The sequence below is a fragment of the Homo sapiens genome, chromosome 2 (genome assembly GCF_000001405.40).
Source record: "Homo sapiens chromosome 2, GRCh38.p14 Primary Assembly".
In the NCBI taxonomy this organism is placed as follows: Eukaryota; Metazoa; Chordata; class Mammalia; order Primates; family Hominidae; genus Homo; species Homo sapiens.
The window spans coordinates 3,752,228-3,772,129 of record NC_000002.12 but is presented as its reverse complement, the minus strand read 5'-3'; the positions used below and the strand labels follow the sequence as shown (position 1 = coordinate 3,772,129).

General features: G+C 44.5%; 1 protein-coding gene across 11 annotated transcripts in view, besides 1 other annotated feature; it reads right to left on the bottom strand.

The window, feature by feature from the left end:
- DCDC2C (doublecortin domain containing 2C) overlaps positions 1-19,902 on the bottom strand; it is a 144,434-nt gene that overhangs the window by 75,879 nt on the left and 48,653 nt on the right. For 9 of the 11 annotated variants that reach the window (NM_001287444.2, XM_047445725.1, XM_047445724.1 and 6 more), the window contains 4 exons: positions 19,230-19,367; positions 17,496-17,538; positions 4,250-4,376; positions 2,719-2,819 (listed from right to left, as the gene is read on the bottom strand). In NM_001287444.2, the coding sequence (NP_001274373.1) occupies positions 2,719-2,819; positions 4,250-4,376; positions 17,496-17,538; positions 19,230-19,367 (409 nt within the window). Of the gene's footprint in view, positions 1-262; positions 545-2,718; positions 2,820-4,249; positions 4,377-4,422; positions 5,217-17,495; positions 17,539-19,229; positions 19,368-19,902 lie in introns of those variants that run through there. The other 2 variants (XR_007081579.1, XM_047445728.1) reach the window with 2 other exon arrangements.
- Positions 1,179-1,348: an enhancer, noted in NCBI's record as "experimental_58308 CRE fragment used in MPRA reporter constructs". NCBI's record gives its function as "activates a minimal promoter by MPRAs in K562 erythroleukemia cells, with activity observed for both the introgressed and non-introgressed 2:3818457 variant alleles {active_cell/tissue: K562}" and the evidence as "EXISTENCE:reporter gene assay evidence [ECO:0000049][PMID:34662402]".

Genomic DNA, 19,902 nt, shown 5'->3' with positions numbered 1-19,902 from the left:
TACATTTACTAGTCGGGATGTTATATTTTGTAATATTTTACCTTTATGGTGCCACTACACTGGAGAAAGTGTAATACTGCAGACACAATGAGAAACAGCATGTGAGACGCTCAGGCTAACCCACAAAGTTGAAATCATTACTCAAAAACAGGAGACAGTATTCCAGATTACTAAAGAAGTCAGCACCATGAAGGCATAATATTAGGGCCAAACCGTCCTTCACTAATGGCCTGGAAAGTTCTCACGACACGGATATACGCACCTTCCCTGTGTCCATGGGTATGCCAGTCACCCTGACGCAGAGCCAAGAGCCTGCCCAGCAGGCAGCACGGGCCAGGCGCAGAGTGGGGCCAGGCAGCCAGCCACGCTCGCGCAAGTTCTCCAGGCTTGGCCCACTCGGATGCAGCCACCCACCCGGTCCATGACTGTCCCAGGAACAGAGGGTCTGCACAAACCACATCCTATGTTCCTGCTCCATAGGAAAGAAGGAGGTCCTTGGACAACGGCACACAGGCAAGGTCTCAACTGTGTGTCATGAAGAGTCCTAGCAAGAAAAGGTTCGTGGGGAAATAAACAGAATTAACCAAAAGCTTATACATAATTTTAACTCTAGGACTTCTCTGAAACAATACACTCATGTGCACCGTGATTCCCCCAAGGAGAGATATGAGAGTGGCGCCTCCCACGTGTGCATTTTCAAAGATGCAGAACGCGGTTTGGGCAACACCACTCTGTCTACATGGCCTGAGCTTCATGCCTTGCCTCTGTTGATTAAGTGCATGGGATTTTCTTGTATCCACTTCTGGAAGATTTCATAAGCTTTTGTGAAACACCTGCTGCATGTCAGGACCCGGCGAGTGGGAGACAAGGTGAGGCAACGTCCTCCCCAGGTGTGCTGTGCAGGAAGGGTCCTCCTGGCACTCAGCTGTCCCCAGCATCCCAGCTGACAGCCGCTCTTTCTGCTCTCGCCACGCACGGAGGATGCAGAGGGAGGACGGATGACCTAGCTCACCCTCAGGGGGTCTTCCTATCCACAGACAATGGCTGAGAGTCTGTTTCTGTGTCACTCAAAGCCACAGGACTTGTGTTAATATTGCCGCTTGACAGCGAGAAAGTTCCATTCACTGAGACTTCGCCCTACCTGGTGTGGAAAACTGCTGCACAGAAAACGCTTTCTGGAAGCCCCTCCTCCTCCACGGCTGGTGGGTGGAGCATCCCAGGGACCTACTGGCCCTCTTCCCTCCTCTCACCTCACATTAGTGCGGGATAACCGAATTCACTCCACTGCCTCAAAGTCGATGGAAATCAGAATCACCGGCAACCAAAACTTATGAATATGCTTATTATACGCAAAGTTATGACAACAGTGCTTGTCACACGAGGATTCTGCCTGTGTTGAAAAGTTGTGTTGGACACACAGTCTACAACCCAGAAAGCCACAGTAACATCCTAGTGACAACGGTATATTTGGCATACAAGTAACAGCCTAAAATGTCCTAGTTTCCTTATCACTAGAAAACTCTTAAGTGGGCAATACAAAATATTTTAACTGTTAGTTTGGATTTGCGAAGAAAATGAAATCTTTTAGTCATTTTTGACATGTCAAGGAAAAGAGAAAATAATATTACTAGAAATTTAGAAAATATGACAGGACTCATAGGAAAGGTGCTCAAAATGCCAAAAAAAGGAAGTGGAAAGCTAGAATATTGAGAGGCAGTCTGTAATATTTTTCAAATGTGTCACAGAAAATAAGAAATACAGCAGAAGTTAAAAAACAAAGTGCCAAAGTTAAGAGTGATCCATTCGGAGAAAGGAGTGGAAAAGTTTGCTGGATACCAGGATTTGGTGGTTTACAGTTACAGGAGCAGGGGTGGAACCTCATCTATTTTAGAGGAATAAAAATGGAACTCTAATGCTAATATTGACCTTTTAGAGAATATACATTCTTTGCTCAAAAACTAAGAATTGGAAATGTACTTGTTTTGCCTTCAGGTGGGTAGTGAAGACAAAGCATGCATTTTAGGAGATCACTGAGCACAATCTGCCATTTGCCCAAGTGCTGGAGACTCACTCAGGTGCGCAGCTGGGCTGGAACCCTGGCCTGACCCCGCCCCTTCTCAGAACCCTGCTCCCCACTCCTCCCTGAGGCCAGGAGGAGGGAACAGTGTCCCAGCATCCACCATGCACCAGTGCTGGCCACACACTCAGGCCACACACAGACCTGCACAGAGGCAGCATCCCCATCTATGGATAAGGAAACAGAGGCTCAAGGTTTCATAATCATGCCATCTGATCCCACTGTTTACTCCATTATTCAGTCATCATTCCACAAAAAAATTACTAAGGCCTCCTCCATGCCGGGAATTCTGTGAGGTACAGGGCCCAACAGTGAGCGAGGCAGCCAGCCCCTTTCCTTATGGAGTCAGTAGCTTAGTGAGGGGACAGACACAATCATCAAATAATGATGAAGCCAAATTTGCAGTCACACACAGTGAAGTGTTAAAAGGCGTCTCTCCAGCAGAAGCTGTGGGGGAGGTGGGAAGACAGGAAAATGCTTAACACAGGATCTGAGATGAGCAGTCTCTAACTAGGAGGAACACAGAACATTCTAGAGTCCAGAGAGAATTTGCAGGGAGAGGGTGAAGGATGACGCTGAGGCGGGCAGGAGCTGATGGAATGGAGTGAAGACGGCATGGACATCGGACCCCGGACACCCACCTGGTCCACAGGCACCTCCAGCTGCACATTGTGCTCCTCTTTGACGTCCAGCGCCCCTTGGGTTTCCTTGCTAGGAGTCGGTGCTTTATACACGTCACCTTCTGGGAGAAAATCACACAGACAAACTTTTGAAACCCATGGAGAAGCTGGAGTCCACTGCATATTTCCTGACCCAAACCCAAGTTACGAAGCCGGGCATCCTGGAGCTTCGGGCAGGCCACCTGGTCTGCAGTCCCAAACCCCGTCCGCCTCACCCCGTTTCCCTCTCGCCCTTCCTGTTTGCATCTGCCAAGGTGCTCAGCGTGGTGGCCTCGATTTTAGCCCCGTCTGCTTTTGTCTCTGTCTTCATGAAGGTCCTGGACCCTGAAAGTCATGCAATTGCTGTGCCCACCATGGTAGTCAGTCCACAAGATGAAGCACAGGGAAGGCCTGTGTCCACCAAGCCTTGGTCCAGTTAATTCCGTTAGAAATAAATACATGCAAAGTAACCCCACTGGACAGCAAAGTAATAGAATAAATTTTAAGAAAATGCAGCTTCAGCCAGGTGCAGTGGCTCACGCCTGTAATCCCAACACTTTGGGAGGCCGAGGCAGTTGGATCATTTGAGGTCAAGAGTTCAAGACCAGCCTGGGCACCATGGAGAAACCCTGTCTCTACTAAAAATACAAAAATTAGCCAGGTGTGGTGAGAGGTGCCTGTAGTCCCAGCTACTTGGGAGGCTAAGGCACAAAAATCACTTGAACTCGGGAGGCAGAGGTTGCAGTGAGCTGAGATCACACCACTGCACTCCAGCCTGGGTGACAGAGTGAGGCATCATCTCAAAATAAAAGAAAAGAAGAAGCCAAGAGGGGAGGAAGGGTGTTTAGGAAAAATGACTTCCAAAAATGTTCAGCTGCTGCAGAGAAGTGCAGGAAAGCCTCTCCCACCACCTTGCTTTCTCCTCCATAACCAGCCACACCACTCACAGTCTCTCACTAAGTATCCATACATGAGACGGGACATGAATGTGCCTCACTCAGAGCTGGGCACCCAGTAAGAGCTCAGTGAGAGTTAGTAATAGTAGCAGAGTGGTAAAAATAGATGTCAGAGCACTTTCTAAATTATCTCATTTTAAAACCAGCTCTGAAGATCCATCTTTTAAATGTTTCTTATACTCAAAAAATACACCTAAACAATCTCGGTGGCTTTTATGTTCATGTTTCTCCCAAAAGATAGATTTATTTGTTGTTTTCTACGTCATCAGTCTTTAGAAAAGAAGATACTCAGTCCTGGTGTAAGCTGATTTTAAATATGTATTTATCTTGGAGGCCCCCTAATTAGAGAATCCCATTGCCTTCAGCAGTGAAATGTTTTTTTTCTGCTCTGCCAACTACTGAACTACCTACAAGCTGAACCTTTTATTAATAAAGCAGATAGTTACAAGTCAAACAATATTTCTGGAGTATAAGATTTCTCTGAAAAAAAAAAAATCCCATGTTCTCAGCCTGGTAAAGTTTCGAACTGCCTACAGCAGAATGAAACTGCACGTCACCTGCACCCCTTTGGACTAAAGGTTCTGCCAATGTTTTCTTCTTTTCTTCTTTGGCATAATAAACAGAATCCTGTGTTTTAGGGGGTATGCCATCATATTTACAAGGTTCTTTTCCTTTGGAGTCCACCTACAGGACAAATGAAGAAGAGAAAGTCCATTAAGAACAGTGGGATACAAGGAGTCCGATCAGGTTCTCTGGGTGTGGTCAGGAAGACACAAGTTCCTCAGAGAAACAGTAGGAGGAAACTCAGGCACCTCCAAGAAGCCTCACTTCGAATGCAACCTCTTCTGCTCTATTACTTGCATTCCCCTCAGGAAAGCAGCAAAAATAATTCTCTCCCTCCCTCCCAGTGCCTTGGCAGGCAGAGAAGGTTAGTTCACTTCTTAACTGTAGGTGGCCTTCCTAAAACCTGACAAAATAAGGGCTTGCTTTAGAGGAACAAGCAAGTCAAAGGAGGCGCCTCTGGTTTTTTGGAGACACTCTTTAAAGCTGAATAAAAACTGCTGTTCAACAAGCATCACAAAGCCGTTCCTGCTGGAACCTCTGAGCAGGATGAGAGCGTCTGTGAGGAGAATTAGCCATGTGGCGGTTTACTTTGGGGTTGCAATAAGGGAGAACTCACATGTTTTTTAATCTGTAAACAATAACAACAAAGCACAACTAGAACACAAAGTAAGATGACATGCAGATACCTGCTCCTCAAATTAGGACGTGGTCACATCCTGATGAACATGTCCGAAGGTGAAAGTATCTAAAGTCAAAAATGCATTTAACACACCTAGCCTACTGAACATCATGGCGCAGCCCTACCTTAAACACGCTCGCAACACTTACGTTGGCCTGGAGGCGGGAAAAGTCTTTTGGCATCGCCGTCCACTGCAGAGGGCATGTGGCTGACAGGGAGCTGTGGCCGTCACTGCCCAGCATTCCGAGAGTATCCTACGGCTTTCCACTGAACGCGTGAAGCTTTGGCACCATCAAACAGTCAAAAATCCTAAGTCAAACTAAGTCAGGACTGCCTGTAATTCCCTTAGCACCATTACACTTCTATCCCATAAACTATCTTTATGATACAAAATGTCTTTTTTAGGTTTTCTTTTTTTGATCTTTTCTCAAGTATTTGGAAGTGAATGCAGGCTGAAGTATATAAATAGGTATTTCTCTCGAGCTCTCTATGTCACTTAAGAAATGTCAAACTAAAAACACCTGCCTTGTACCGTTAATATATTGCATATGATGCAAACTGCCAGGTTTTCAATCTTTGTGGAAATTAAGGTATGAAAATAGCCCTCCAACCTTATACATGCGACCACACAAAATGTTTCTACCTATTTTAAGGAGTTTTCCTACGAGCTGAAATCATGTTCTTAAGGAGAAGAAATGAGATCTTAGCAGAACTGGTCATGGAAACAGAAAATGGTATATGGTGCTTGTATTTTGGCTGGGGGTTGGGATTCTGAAAGTCTGGTTGATTCTTTTCAGCATCACTGAACTCTGGTTGTTGAGACACATTTTCCATAACTTTGGCCTCTAAGATAAAGACACCGTGTGTGTGTGTGTGTGTGTGTGCGTGTGTGTGTATGTGTATGTATGAGTGTGTATGTGGTGTCCTATTATCTCTGGAATAGTACTCAAAGGACAATGACAAGCATGCACAACCCACCCTAGTAACGAGGGCACAGAAGTAGTTGTGACACAGAATACACAGCAAATGAGAACCACCCACGGTGTGACCCAGCCCCCACCACCCCGGGCACTGCAATGAGATACAAACGCGGAGCCTCCACCCTGACGTGGAAAGTCACCCAAAACGAAAGTAACTTTGGATGCAGCAGGATGGCTGGGCAAACAGGAGGCACCATGTCATTACACCAATTTATTTCTCATCTCATACCTTACCCAAGCACACGCAGGAAATGTGAGTTTTTGCAAATACCTTATTTCTGTGAAATCGGGAGCAGCGCAGGTGCACCCTCCTGTCAAGTCTTGGCTCAAATTGTCCCTCTGCCCTGTCATTCCCAAGAGGGGTGCCCTGTCCCTTCCCTTGCCCTTCACACTTTACCCACAGCAGCATATGTAATCCACAGACAATTTATTGATGATGTTTGTTGTGTTTTTCTTTCATCAGCAGAAGGTTAGAAGCCACCCAAGGGCAAGGATGTTGGTTTGTTTCTCCATTAATGAATTCCCAGAGCCTAGAACCATGCCTGGCACATAGCAGATGCTCAGTAAATATTTGTTAACTGAACAGGTGAATAATGCCAGCACGCCTCATCACTTCCCGCCATTCAAACCCTTAAGGAGGTAGCCACAGCCTTGGGAAGACATCCAAACTCCTTAACCTAGCACAGTGGTATTCATGATCTAAGACCCACCTGCCTTCCTAATCCAAGCCATCCTTCCCTGCACCATACCTGTGCTGCTACAGCTCCCTTCCACGTGGAAGTCCCTTCCTCACCTTCTTCTTATGACAGCTCATCCTCCAAACCCCAGCTCAAGCCTCACCTCAACGGTCTCTTTGATGTGTCCCTATGACACCCTGACATAACTAACCACCGTGCTAAACAAAGAGTCAGCTCTCAATATGTGCGTGTGTTCAATTCAGCAAGCATAATAGTTGCTCAGTAAATCTCTGCTGATTTAATGAACTGAGCAGGAGGATGGAAAGACAGTAGGGAAAGAAGAGTTGAAAATCTGACATTTCTTCATACAAGAAAATGCAGGGCATTGATAGACACAGATTCTGCAGGCCAATATCTATATTAAGTACATATTTTATCTGAACTATTTGGGAGGTTTCTTACATCATGCACCTTTGCCTCTTAGTACTTTAGTACTTAATACTGAAGACGTGATATCTATTTAATACTTCAGAGTGTGTTTCCTCACAACAGAAACATCATCTCTTACATAATCAGAGACAATTGCCAAATTTAGGATATTCATCTGATATAGTATTTTCATCTATTCTACCATCCATATTCCAATTTTGTAATTGTCCCAAAAATGTGCTTTATAGCATTTTCCACTCAAGAAAAGATCTGTTCAGGATTCACATCACATTTAGATGTCAGACCTCCTGAGTCTCCCCTCTCACCTGGAACAGCTCCTCAGACTGTCTTTCATGACCTTGGCATCTTTGAAGAATGTAGGCCTGTCTTGCATTGCTTTATAGAAAGATCTAGAGTTGGCTATGTATTAGTCCATTTTCATACTGCTATGAAGAAATACCTGAGACTGGGTAATTTATGAAGAAAAAGAGGTTCAATGGACTCACAGTTCCACATGGCTGGGGAAGTCTCACAATCATGGCACACCTTCCCCACAAAGCAGTGCCCCTGTCCTTTCCAGCTAATGCCATCTGCAGGACATACAAATATGCTCTTTCCTCCCAAACTTCCCTGCCTAAACTGTGGTCCAAGTCTGAGTCTGTCCTAGTCAACCTCCAGAATAGAGCTTGTTGATGAACCTCATTTAAGTGGAAGATCTTGACTTCTTAAACAGCGCAAATTACAATATGAGTTGGAAAACTGACTAAAAGAAAGCAACAAAATGTTAATTCCATGGAAAAGGGAAAACGTAATCTAACCCCCAAACACTAAATGAGGACCTTACAAATTGAATCATACCCAATCCTAGTATTGCACTTACTTTTCTTAATTTTGCTCAGTTTAAACTGTCTTTTAAACGTGGAGTCTCAAAGCAGTTCACAAAACTTGGGTCAGAGGAGAGCAGAGACTACATCTTTCTAGTTGCATATAATAGAGGTAAGCGATGAGAAATGATGAAGTCGATGCCTCCTCTGGTTACATTACAATTCTAATTTAGTCTGCTCATGTTAACTACCATGCTAATAGACTAAACATCTGCAAAGGTTGCAATAAAGCAGGATTCAAATTTTATTCCAGTTTTCTATATCTGAGCAGTAGCATCCTCAACAGTCACTGAGCAGCTCTGGTGGGTGAATTCATTCATTCCCTCAATAATCGCCTACTGAGTGTCTACAAGGTATCCAGCTGGAAAATACATGACTAAAGAGCACAGTTCTACCCCGGAGAACGCAGCAGAAAGAAACACATGGGTAGCACCAAGCGCAAGTGCCTCACTTGGTTTTGTGTCCAGCCCAAAAGAGCAGAGTCCATTCTAAACGGTGGGCTGTGAAGGATGCTGGAATGAGCCCAAAAATGGCTTTACAGAGAAAATGGTGCTTACAGTCAGACAATGGGAACAGTCAACAGTAGGACATATATTCCAGGGAGAGAAGAAAGCAGGTAAGAGTAAAGGCTGTGAGACTAGAGACCCCGTGCAGCATGGTGGGACTAGGGCCACCTTGGCGGGTGCTCTTGCATTGGTGACACAGAGCTGAACAAGGATACGAAAGCCTGGGTATGAGCCAGGGTCAAGGGCAAGGAGCCTTCAGTTACCGTGCTAATTAAATTTCCATTTTAGAAAAATCCATGACCATTCTAGGAGCCTGGCTGGCAGTGGGATCTCCTGAGCTGGGTGACATCTCGAGCCGCGCTCACCAGCGCTGGGTCGCGGGCCCACCACGTCAGCTGTGTGGTCTCAGGTCTCTCTGAGGTGCGATAGAATGGAGATGGTGCCTGCCTCCTGGGGCTGTGCTGGGGACCACAACACTTCAGACAGGGAGGGATCTCAGAGCCAGGCTGGCAGTCGGCCAGTGCTCATCCAAATGCCAGAACGAACCTCTGTGAGTGAGTGGAACAGGTAAGACTTGACTCCGGACACACTGGCAGCGGTTGGGCATCAATGGTGGTCCAGGGGAGGGGTGTGGAGGGGCTCTCTCAGGAGAATCAGTGGGCAGTGTACAGACATAACCCAAGCACTCAAGGTCCATGTCCCCTCAGGATAAAGTCCAAACTCTTGCCACCCTCCCCCAACATTCAGCCCTTCACCCAGGCCCAGCCTGCCTCCCCATCCCCTTCCCAGGCAGCCTCACACACGCTTGCTGTTCCCCAGCTTGTCAGTTCCCCTGAAGCCCTACTCTCTCCAAAACAGCTGCCTCCTCTCAGCCACCTGGAGAACTCTCCTACACATCCTCCAAGACCCAACTCAAAGGTCGTCTTGTTCCCACACTGATATAGTTTGGATGTTTGTCCCCCGCCCAAATCTGATGTTAAATTGTGATCTCCATCCTTGGAGGTGGGGCCTGGTGGGAGGGGTTTGGGTCATGGGGGTGGACCTCTGATAGCTTGATGTGTCCTCACAGCAGTGAGTGAGTTCTCACGAGATCAGGTTAAGTGTGTGGTACCTCCCCTGCTCCCCCCGACTCTCTCTCTTGCTCCTGTGTTTGCCATGTGAGACACCTACTTCCCTTCACCTTCTGCCATGATTGGAAGCTCCCTGAGGCCTCCCCAGAAGCTAAGCAGATGCTATTCCCATGCTTCCTGCAGAACCGTGAGCCAATTAAATCTCTTTTCTTTATAAATTCCCTAGTCTCCTATATTTCTTTATAGCAGTGTAAGAATGAATGAATACACACAGCTTCCTTCCCCCAGTACCCCCTCTGCACACTACACCACGTTATGAATAGTTCCACAGCCACATGCCTTGTGGTTTTCCACTTACACAGCCATTTCTCCTTCCAGCCTGCAAGTTTCCAAGGACAGGAGCAGGACAAAGTGCATGGCACTCCAGGTGGCTTTTGTCAGAACAACATGGATCTACAGCAGCACTTGGTTAAAAAAAAAAAAAAAGGTTCAAGCAAGAAAACATGGATCAAGCAGGAATCCATGGCTTTCACAAGGAAGCATGCATGAACCTCACGTCTTACACCCATATTTCTCTCCGTCTCAAGTCTCAAGCCCTCCAAAATCAATGTGAGCTCTATTTACAAAGGGGACAGGTACCGCTTCTCAATTTCATTCATCTTTCTCCCTATTGAAAATGTTTTCAGAAAATGAACCTCACGTATGTTGGTTTTATTTCTCTGCAGTGCTTTAAAGACTATTATTTTTCTCCAGAGCCTATTTCAATTAATCCAGCTATATTTTAATGCTATTATAAGAGATTGTCTAGCTCAGGCACACAAAAGGCAGCCTCCCAGGGTAACTTGGGATGAGCCAGTTTGTCTAATTGAAGGACAGTAACAACCTATTTCAGAGTCAGTCCATCCTCAGGTAAGGAATGACAAATGCTGACAGCAAAAAGTTCCCATGCGAATGTCCCATTTCCATCCCAAGTGGGTCAAGGTCTTCTACCAATGAACCAGGCCTGCTTTGAACATTTATTAAAGTGGAAGATTTGCTAACATTGAACCTGGCTGTTGCATCCTCAGGCTGCTAAAAGATGACAATTGCAGCCTTGATTGTTGTGATATATTGCTCCAGCCTTGACATGATTAGCCAGCAAATGTCAATTCCAAAGCACTCATTTCACAGTGAAATTTACTGTTCAGAACAGGTTATTAAAGTGTGGGTCTCAGTCTGGTATGCACATGCCTCTGCAACTGTTTTCACGCACACACACACGCACACACACACGCACCTCCTTAATTTATATGCTTTATCTCCTTTTCATTACCGTTCACTACGAACACTTGTGCTCTATGCCCAGAAGAATTTAATATTAATGTTCTGATTGCAGATGTGATATAAATACAATGCTTATTAACTATTTACTGATTTTTCACAGAAGCCTGAACCATAAAACATTCATTTTAATATGTGAATGCAATTTTAAACATTTATTAAATTAGCATTTCTTCTTTGGAAGGCAATAGCTATTAAAATCACAGTAAATGCAGTTCCCGTAAAACTGAATGCTATATAATGAGAGTAGCTTCATTCAATTACTTTCATTGGACTAAAAGTTCCAGTTAATTGTGCCAGACAGGATACTGGCAGACTCATAATGGCATATTTTCCAATGCTCAAATATTTGAATCAAGCAATAAGTGAAGTGAACCAATAGAATAATGCAGGCTATTTTCAAAGTATATTTCAGATGTGCTAATAACTAAACTGCATTCATGATTTTTTTTTCCATTTCCTTGGGAAATGGGCTTTTTTTTTATTTTACTTTAAGTTCTGGGATACATGTGCAGAACGTGCAGGTTTGTTACATGGGTATACATGTGCCATGGTGGTTTGCTGCACCTATCAACCCATCATCTAGGTTTTAAGCCCCGCATGCATTAGGTATTTGTTCTAACGCTCTCCCTCCCCTTTCCCCTCACCCCCTAACAGGCCCCAGTGTGTGATGTGCCCCTCCCTGTGTCCATGTGTTCTCATTGTTCGACTCCCATGTATGAGTGAGAACATGTGGTGTTTGGTTTTCTGTTCCTGTGTTACTTTGCTGAGAATGGTGGTTTCCAGCTTCATTCACTTCCCTGCAAAGAACATAAACTCATTCTTTTTTATGGCTGCACAGTATCCCATGGTGTATATGTGCCACATTTTCTTTATCCAGTCTATCATTGATGGGCATTTGGGTTGGTTCCAAGTCTTGCTATTGTAAATAGTGCTGCAATAAACATATGGGTGCATGTGTCTTTATAGCAGAATGATTTATAATCCTTTGGGTATATACCCAGTAATGGGATTGCTGGGTCAAATGGTAGGGAAATGGGCATTTTTAACAGTGCAAATGCAAGTTCTTTTGCTGAATTAAGAAAAAAATATTTTCTTCTATTCAAAATGGAAACTGAGAACTAAGAGGCGAAGAGCTGTGCTCTCACATCTTTCAAACATTCTGGACAGTGCAGCTCCAACAGCTTAAATTAGAACTTCATGGCCTTGGAAGGAAGTCTGATGACAGAGATCCAGGAAGAGTAAAATAAGAGGGAAGAGAGGAGGGAGTCAGCATTCCCTGAGACCCACAGAAGGGAGGTCCAGTCAAGCCACTCGAATGTTAAGTACAGCTGGGATTCCAAGTGCAGAGGTCAGAGGCCAGATGCCTGCTCTTAAAACACTACAGCTTTGCCTTGACGGCAGCAGTTAGTTTACCAAGGAAAATCGTCATCACACATAAATGAGATGTCACCTACTTCACAGACATCTGTTAGATGCAAAGGAGCCCCATCCTTCTATTCCACAGAGAATCCACAATGATAATCCCAGACAAACACGGAAGCAGATGTATCCTCTGCTGGACACACAAGGAATTTGACTTGACATCGAAAATACTTTTATGCATGGATATTATCTCTCATGCCTCCCTTCACTCTCATGTAATAAATGTGCTCGTCTAGAGCAAAGCAACTTCTCACACAAATGTGCAACCCAAAGTCCTGCTTCCTCCTCCTGCAGACCTGATCCTGGCTCCTGAATGCACCACCCTCCCGCCATCCCTGGAATCCTGAGGTCGGTCTTGACTTCTCCCACGTCCTCCACAGTCATCTCGAGGTGCTACATTACTCTCTGTTATTCTCCATCTCACGTCTTTGAATCAAGATTCCATGAATCATACTGCAAACACGTAGCTATTTTATAAACCACTAAGAAAGAAAGGAAGTGCCATTTAAAATATGTCAGCATGCTTTAATTTCCTAGAAGTTCTATTTTCTACTTACTGAAGAAGCCCTTCTAGAACCATTTAGACACCCATTTTTATGACATAGCATGCTTGTACATAAAGAAAAATGAGAAAATAACAGAAACAAATCACCTGAATACCCTCCAAGATTTTACATCCAGAGTCTGACTCTTCTGAGACACTTTTTGACTCCGAGTCAAAGGCATCAGTGCTTCTGCATGCAGCGTGGGAAGGATGCCCCGCCCTCATCTCTGAATTGCCCCTGAGCCGTTGGTACCTGAACTGCACATTTTGGTGCTGGTGCTTCAGCCCTGCAGAGTCGAAGGCAATCCTTTTGCACCACTCTCAGGAACAAAACACATGCGAGTGTGGTTGGTTGCTTGCTGGCCACACAGCCCTCCCCTCTCAGGCTGCACACAGGTTTGCAAAGTGAATCGGCTCTTCTGTGCTTCTCTGTTGAGGGAGAGCCTATTTCTCCACCTCCTGAAATCTAGGCTAGTTTGTGACATCCTGCTGGAAGATGAGAGGCCACATGGAAGTGAACCAAAATGCTCAACAACCAGCACTAGCGGCCAGATGTGTTAGTGAGGCCAGCTTGGACATCCCAATCCAGCGAACCTTCCGCTGAACACAGCCTCATAAGCAACCAAGGTGAAACCAGCCCAAGACCTGTGCAGCCAACCCACCGGACTTAGAGAAATCATAAACCCTTGTTGCCTGAAGCACCTGGGTTTGGGGGTGGTTTGTTATACCACGCAGATCACTGACGCTGGCAGCTGCAACTTTGTGTGTCGACCTCCCTGTCTCAGGTCCTACACAAGAGCTGGCTGTCACTCTGCAAGAATAGATGGAATCGAAGAAGAATATACTCAATTGATAGCAAATTTGCATCGTGATGTTCTACTTTTAGGTCTTTCCGTGTATATAATAACTTTTTGTTTCAATTCTCACAGAAAAATCATTTTGAGGATATTTTACACAGCAGTTAAGCTCAACATGTACAGAATCAACCCCACACACAATTCAATTGAAGACACAGTCAAATGAGCAGCTACAGCCAAGTTTATCCATGAGCAACTAGCACCTACAACATGGCTGCCCACAGGAGTCCTGAGACGCTGTCGACGTCAGATGCACCTGTTCCAGGGATGTCGGGATGTGGGAACATGCCCTCCATAGAATCAATGATACACAGCATCTCTCAAGTCCCACTGTTCTGCTCCACCTGTCACCTCACTGGGAATGTCACAGTTTTTCAGGACCAGCCCTTCTCTGTCTATTTTGCTCCCTTTTCAGTCCATACAATTTATTCCATCAGTAGTAATGAGTATCAAGTAGATATAGTCCATTGTACTCCCTTGCTTAAATCTGGATCCCTGCAAATAAAAACATCTTCCTGGGGAGCCCAGCTCCCCTGACCCCTACGTGCCCACTCTCACAGTGCTTTCCCCCCATAGGTATCAGGTGTTTCTTCCTGACTCCATTGGGCAGTGTTGATGGGGAGACATAGGCAGATGTGGAAGTTAAACAGCTTATAGGAGAGGCGTCAATGATCTGTTGGAACTGTGGAGATGGGGAGGTTGGTGCTGGTGGCATCTGGGGTGATTTAATTACTGGGATTTAATTTACTGAGCAGGAGGGCTGGGTGAGGTCTGCTAGGGTTACGCCCATGCTTATCGACACTCTGCCTTCTCCAGTCGTGGAAACTTACACTCCACTCATCTTTGTGTCTCGTGCTAGCGGAGTGTGCTTAGCATGCTGCCAACACCTCACCACGGCCTCATGGACGACCAGATGAATCAATGAGTGCCCCATTCCGGCCTGATATCCTGTGGGTCACAAGTTCTAGGTCATGTTTGTGATATGTTCATTGAAGGGTCAAGAAAGACTTTCTGTTTTGTATTCTAGGTACTTTTTTTTAAGCTTGCAAATTTAAAAGAAAATCCAGCATCTGATTTTAAAGAAAGCTGATACTTTGATTGGCTGATGTTATTAGAATGTGCACAGCACCAAGGGTCCCAACAGCCCCCCACATTCCACAAGGCAATATCTTAATGAAGAGCACGCCTGTATTTTTTTTTAATTTTGTACCTTCTTTTCCAAAAAGATGTTGTGGCAATTCACATAGAAAATAGATAAAAGGTTTAACAAGTTAGAAATGGAAAACCTGGGGCAAGCAAGTAAAGAAACAAACACATTTATCATAAATGGCTAAGTTGCTGCAAATCATCATAAATTCCAGCCTCAGAGAAGCCCTGTGTGTGGAATTCTTTTCATTCTTAGAAACACACCCACTCTTCAAAATGAGGCCAAAAAAAATTAATACTGAGTTTTAAGATAATACATCTTTACAGATGCAGACCTTTATATATGGAACAATGGAGTAAGGCATATCATTTTTGTAATCTCAGTGATCATCATTCATCCATTCAACAAACACCTAATACGAAAATGTGTTTCTTAGAGAAAGAAAATCTAAAATAAATAAGGCGATCATTCAACTCAAGAAGCTACAAAAAATAATAAGAGTCAATTCAGAAGAAAAGCCTTGGCAACAAAAGCCAGAGAAGGACAACATGAGAAAGAAGTCAGACAGGCTAAGCTCACTCATGAGCAGACATGCAGAAATCTCCAATAAAACCTGGCAAAACATATTCAGAAAAACATTTTTTAAAACATCAGGCTTAATCAGTGAATGAAGTTGGATAAGGACCGTGGCCGTGAACTCGGCATGAAGACTCGGGTCAGCAGTGTCATTATTTCCAACAACACCACGCTGCATTAGTGCAAGTGCAGAGGAAGTGCAGGCTGGGCTCACCCAGGGCTGAACACTTGCCAGGTGCACACAGTGGCTCGCAGGTGAGAAAGTCAAAGCTATTTGCAGGGAGTGATTAAAATGGCAATCATGAAATCTGAGCTGCAACAGCAGAAAAGCAAAGCCCAGGGCTATCTGTTAGTTACTGGGAAAGAAAAGACCAGGACAATGCCGACCCTCAAAGCCAGTGTGTCACAGTAGGGAGGGGACTTGAGCCAGTGAGCCAGGCAGACAGGCACTGGAAAGAGTACGTGTTCAATAGCTTTGTCAAATAAATATTAATGTCAATAGAACCACTAAAAGGCAGTATTTGTAGGATGATCAGGGATATAGGAGGATCACGTAAACAGTTACAAGGACTGGTAAGCCCCTCTAGGACCCAGCTTCTGCAAATCTTCCTGGTCCTGTATCCTGATACCTCCTTGTCATTATTCCTCATGCTTTATGCTGCAACTTCAAACTGTGTGATCAGCACACACACACACACACACATATGCATCCATACACATAGGTACACAGGCATCCACACACACATGCATCCATACACACACGTGCATCTACACACACAAATGTTTCCATATGAATACCCATGTATGCATCCACAAAAACATATGCCTCTATACACGTGTATCCATCCATACACACATATGCATGTGAATACATACATACACATGTATTCATATGCACACATGCACACATATGCATCCATATGCATATGCATCCATACATACACATATGTACTCATGCACACATGCACACATATGTATCCATATACACACCTCCAAACATACATATGTATTTATACACCAACACATATGCATCCATACACACATCCATACAACATATGCAGGCAACATATCCATACAACATATATGCATCCATACACACATCCACACACATATGCATCCATATGTACACACACATATGTAGTCATAGGCACACACATATGCATCCATACACACATGCATACACACATATACATCCATATGTACACACACATAGTCATATGCACACACATACATCCCTACACATTCATACATACGCACATGCATGTGCATTCATACACACGTGTACTCCTGTGTACACATGCACACATGTCTCCATACACACACATGCATTCATACATACACATGCATGCCTCCATACACACATGTATTTAAATACATACATATGTGCATTCATACATACACATGCACCCATACACACATGCATACACACATATGCATCTATACATGCATGTGCACGTATGCAAACATGTATTCATATGCACACACATGCATCCACATACACATGCATCCATGTACACACGTGTACCCATCATATGCACATCATATACACATCATGCACACATCATATGCACCCATGCACACATATGCATCCATACACACACATGCATCCATACATACACATGCATCCATACATACACACACATGCCTCCACACACATGTATTTATACACACACATGCACCAGTACATACACACACATATGTATTCACACACACGCACATGTGCATGCAGTGAGCTGCTTCTCCCACTGCTGCCTTACTGTCACATCTGCCTGGAATGTCCTCCTCCCACCCCCCGCCAGAGCCCACTGCCACTCATGCCAAGCTTGAGTCAGTTACTCTCCTCCCTGTCCCGTAAAAGTCCAAATATATTTTTGTCTTCACACCTACTGGGTTGCATTATAAATACCTATGTGTGTCTCTTAGCTCTGGACTCTGTGTTCCAAACATAAACTTCCTCTCCTACTCACACCATTCTCAGAAGTGCATCTGATTTTTCCTTATAAGCCTGGCACTGATGCTGGCCCAGGCCCTGGCACTGATGCTCTGTTTACAGCTCGGGCCGTCACCCTGCGCTGTGCCCTTGTTAATGCCAGAAGACGCCAGAATCAGAAACAAGTTACTTACTTGTTTTAAAAAGTTACTTACTTTTTTCTTTCTCTGTGAGTTTTTTTCAACATTCGCATACCTTCTGCAAGACAAAAGATGTTCAACTTGAAATGTAAAGCCCGGCCCTAAGTTATCTCTATAAAATGCAGACTGCAGCCTTGTCTTTAGGAGGGAAGTGACCACGAGGAGGAGCAAGCTGTCCACAGAGGACACGGCTCATGGCAACAATGATTTCCCAGCTTTGGGAGCAGAAAACGCCCCAGGAATCTGTTCAATTTCCTTCCTGCAGATCAGATAGCCCATCCTCCTTCTACCACAGTAAACAGCCCCTGTCTACCTGCTGCCTTTGCAAGTGCAGGCATCCCATTTCTAATTCCTCTTTAGTGAGGCTTTCTCCAATAGCTGCCTCTCAAATTTGGAAATGCTTCTATCCCAGGATTCTCTGCAAATTCAGAGCACCTCCTTGGTCTATTCTGTGTAAGCTGCATGAACTTCAGTCTCTGAGTGATTGCATGTGGCCTCCTGTTGACCCTAAACTCAACAACTTCGGCAAGGGGAAAAGATATTTAAGCCAGTCAGACCTGGTCAGGGCTTCCCAATGAACAGATAATGGCAAAAAGCAAAACACACTGAGAGGTGGGAAACACGTAGGGGGCAGATAGAAAGAACGACTCAACTCCACAGCCCCACAGTGTTCCTCCTCACTGTGCTATTAGGACTATTAGCACGAATTAAGTCAATAAAATCAAGAAATATCCATGTGTGCCAGGCATACAGGTGGGACTCTAACCTAACCATCTGCCTGGATATCAAACTGCTGTGGGGTCGTCCTTGGCAGACAGGACAAAGGGAGCCTTTCTCTGCCTTGAGGTACAAACCCTAGCAGCACGTGAACCAGAATAGGAGGAGGCCATCCCGGACGCTGCGCCCTCAGTGGAGGTTCAAGCACTCGTGCTGATGTGCTGCCTTACTGTCACATCTGGTACCACAAAACCTAAAGGATAGAGGAAGGCTGGCCACCTGCATGGTGTTCAAACCATCTGTCCTGCTCCACCATAAGATGAAAAATGGCAGCTCTTTTTCTTTGCTCGAGATAATGATCATTGAAAACTTGACAAAGAACTAGCTCCAGGAAAGTTCCTAGTAAGCCCTCAAGTCATGTCCTACACGAAATGCATTTCAAACACACCCGTCAGGGCTAAACAATTGAGGATGAAGAATCCCACAGATGGGCTTCGGAACCACCCATCTCAGCACCCTTCACCTCCCTCCTGGTCACTGCTTCATGTCCATAAACACACACACAGTGTGGCACCCGCATAGCCATGCCCAGATTACTACAAAAATCATGGCTTTTTTCACCAGGAGAGACTGACACCCAGCACAAATTCTGTATTTTAGATATGGGGAAGCATGCCAAATTAAGAAAACAAAGCATCATGCTGGGTGCATCACAGGCAGGCATAACTGTGCCTAGAATCAGCTCTGAAGCTGTTGCACATTTCAACTCCTGATCTCTAAGACTCCTGGTATCCCAGAGAAAAGCAGTGGACTCTGTGTAGATCTTGCTGTCCTTGTGAATACATCATACAAGAGCAGTTCCCCCACGCCTCATTTTTAAAATCTAAAATTGTATCATACATTAAATAAGAATATTACATTTCACTACTGAAAAATAACCAATAGCTGAACTGGACCTATTTGGGAGAGATACTGGGGAAAAGGCTAATTTTTTTCCAAAACTCAGGAAAGAAAGGTACGAAGCATGCTCACTGTTGGACCTCACTGGGCACCCTTGGAGACTTCCAGTAAGGAAAATATTTGAAGGTCTCCAGTCCCACAGCAACATAAAAGTGATTGTCTTGCAAATCCTTTGAGTCGCCCAAAAGATGCCCATTCATTGTAAATAATCTGTAAAAACAGAAAGAAGAAATGAGATAGAGACTTGAGGACCAGTAGCATAGGGCTTGGGGTATTTGTGCATACACTATGACATGACTAGTGCATGGACCGCTGGAGAAACAGTGCTCATCGTAAGCACGTGTTATCCAAACGGGCCAATTAAACCCGACGGGAACTGCTCTTCCAGGATTAGACTTGCTTTCCACTTTTAGATTTTTTAATTAAAGTGTATTTTTAATTATATACAAGTGCTCATAGGCTCTTGAGAACCATGTTACACTCTTGGTTAGTGTTCAATTAATTTTAACTAATAACAGCTAAAATTAATACAAATTGGCCCACATTGTTATAACAATACTTGGAAAACAAACCAGGATTTATTAGCAAATAATATGCATTTTTATAAGCACCAAAAGACTAATATTAGTCTACTTTTTACTCAGTAATCCTTTTCAGCAGGTACTCCTTCACTAGTTTATTTAAGAAATGATACAATTAACTCAATGCTGAGCCTCTATATGCATAAGACAATGAGGTAGGCAAT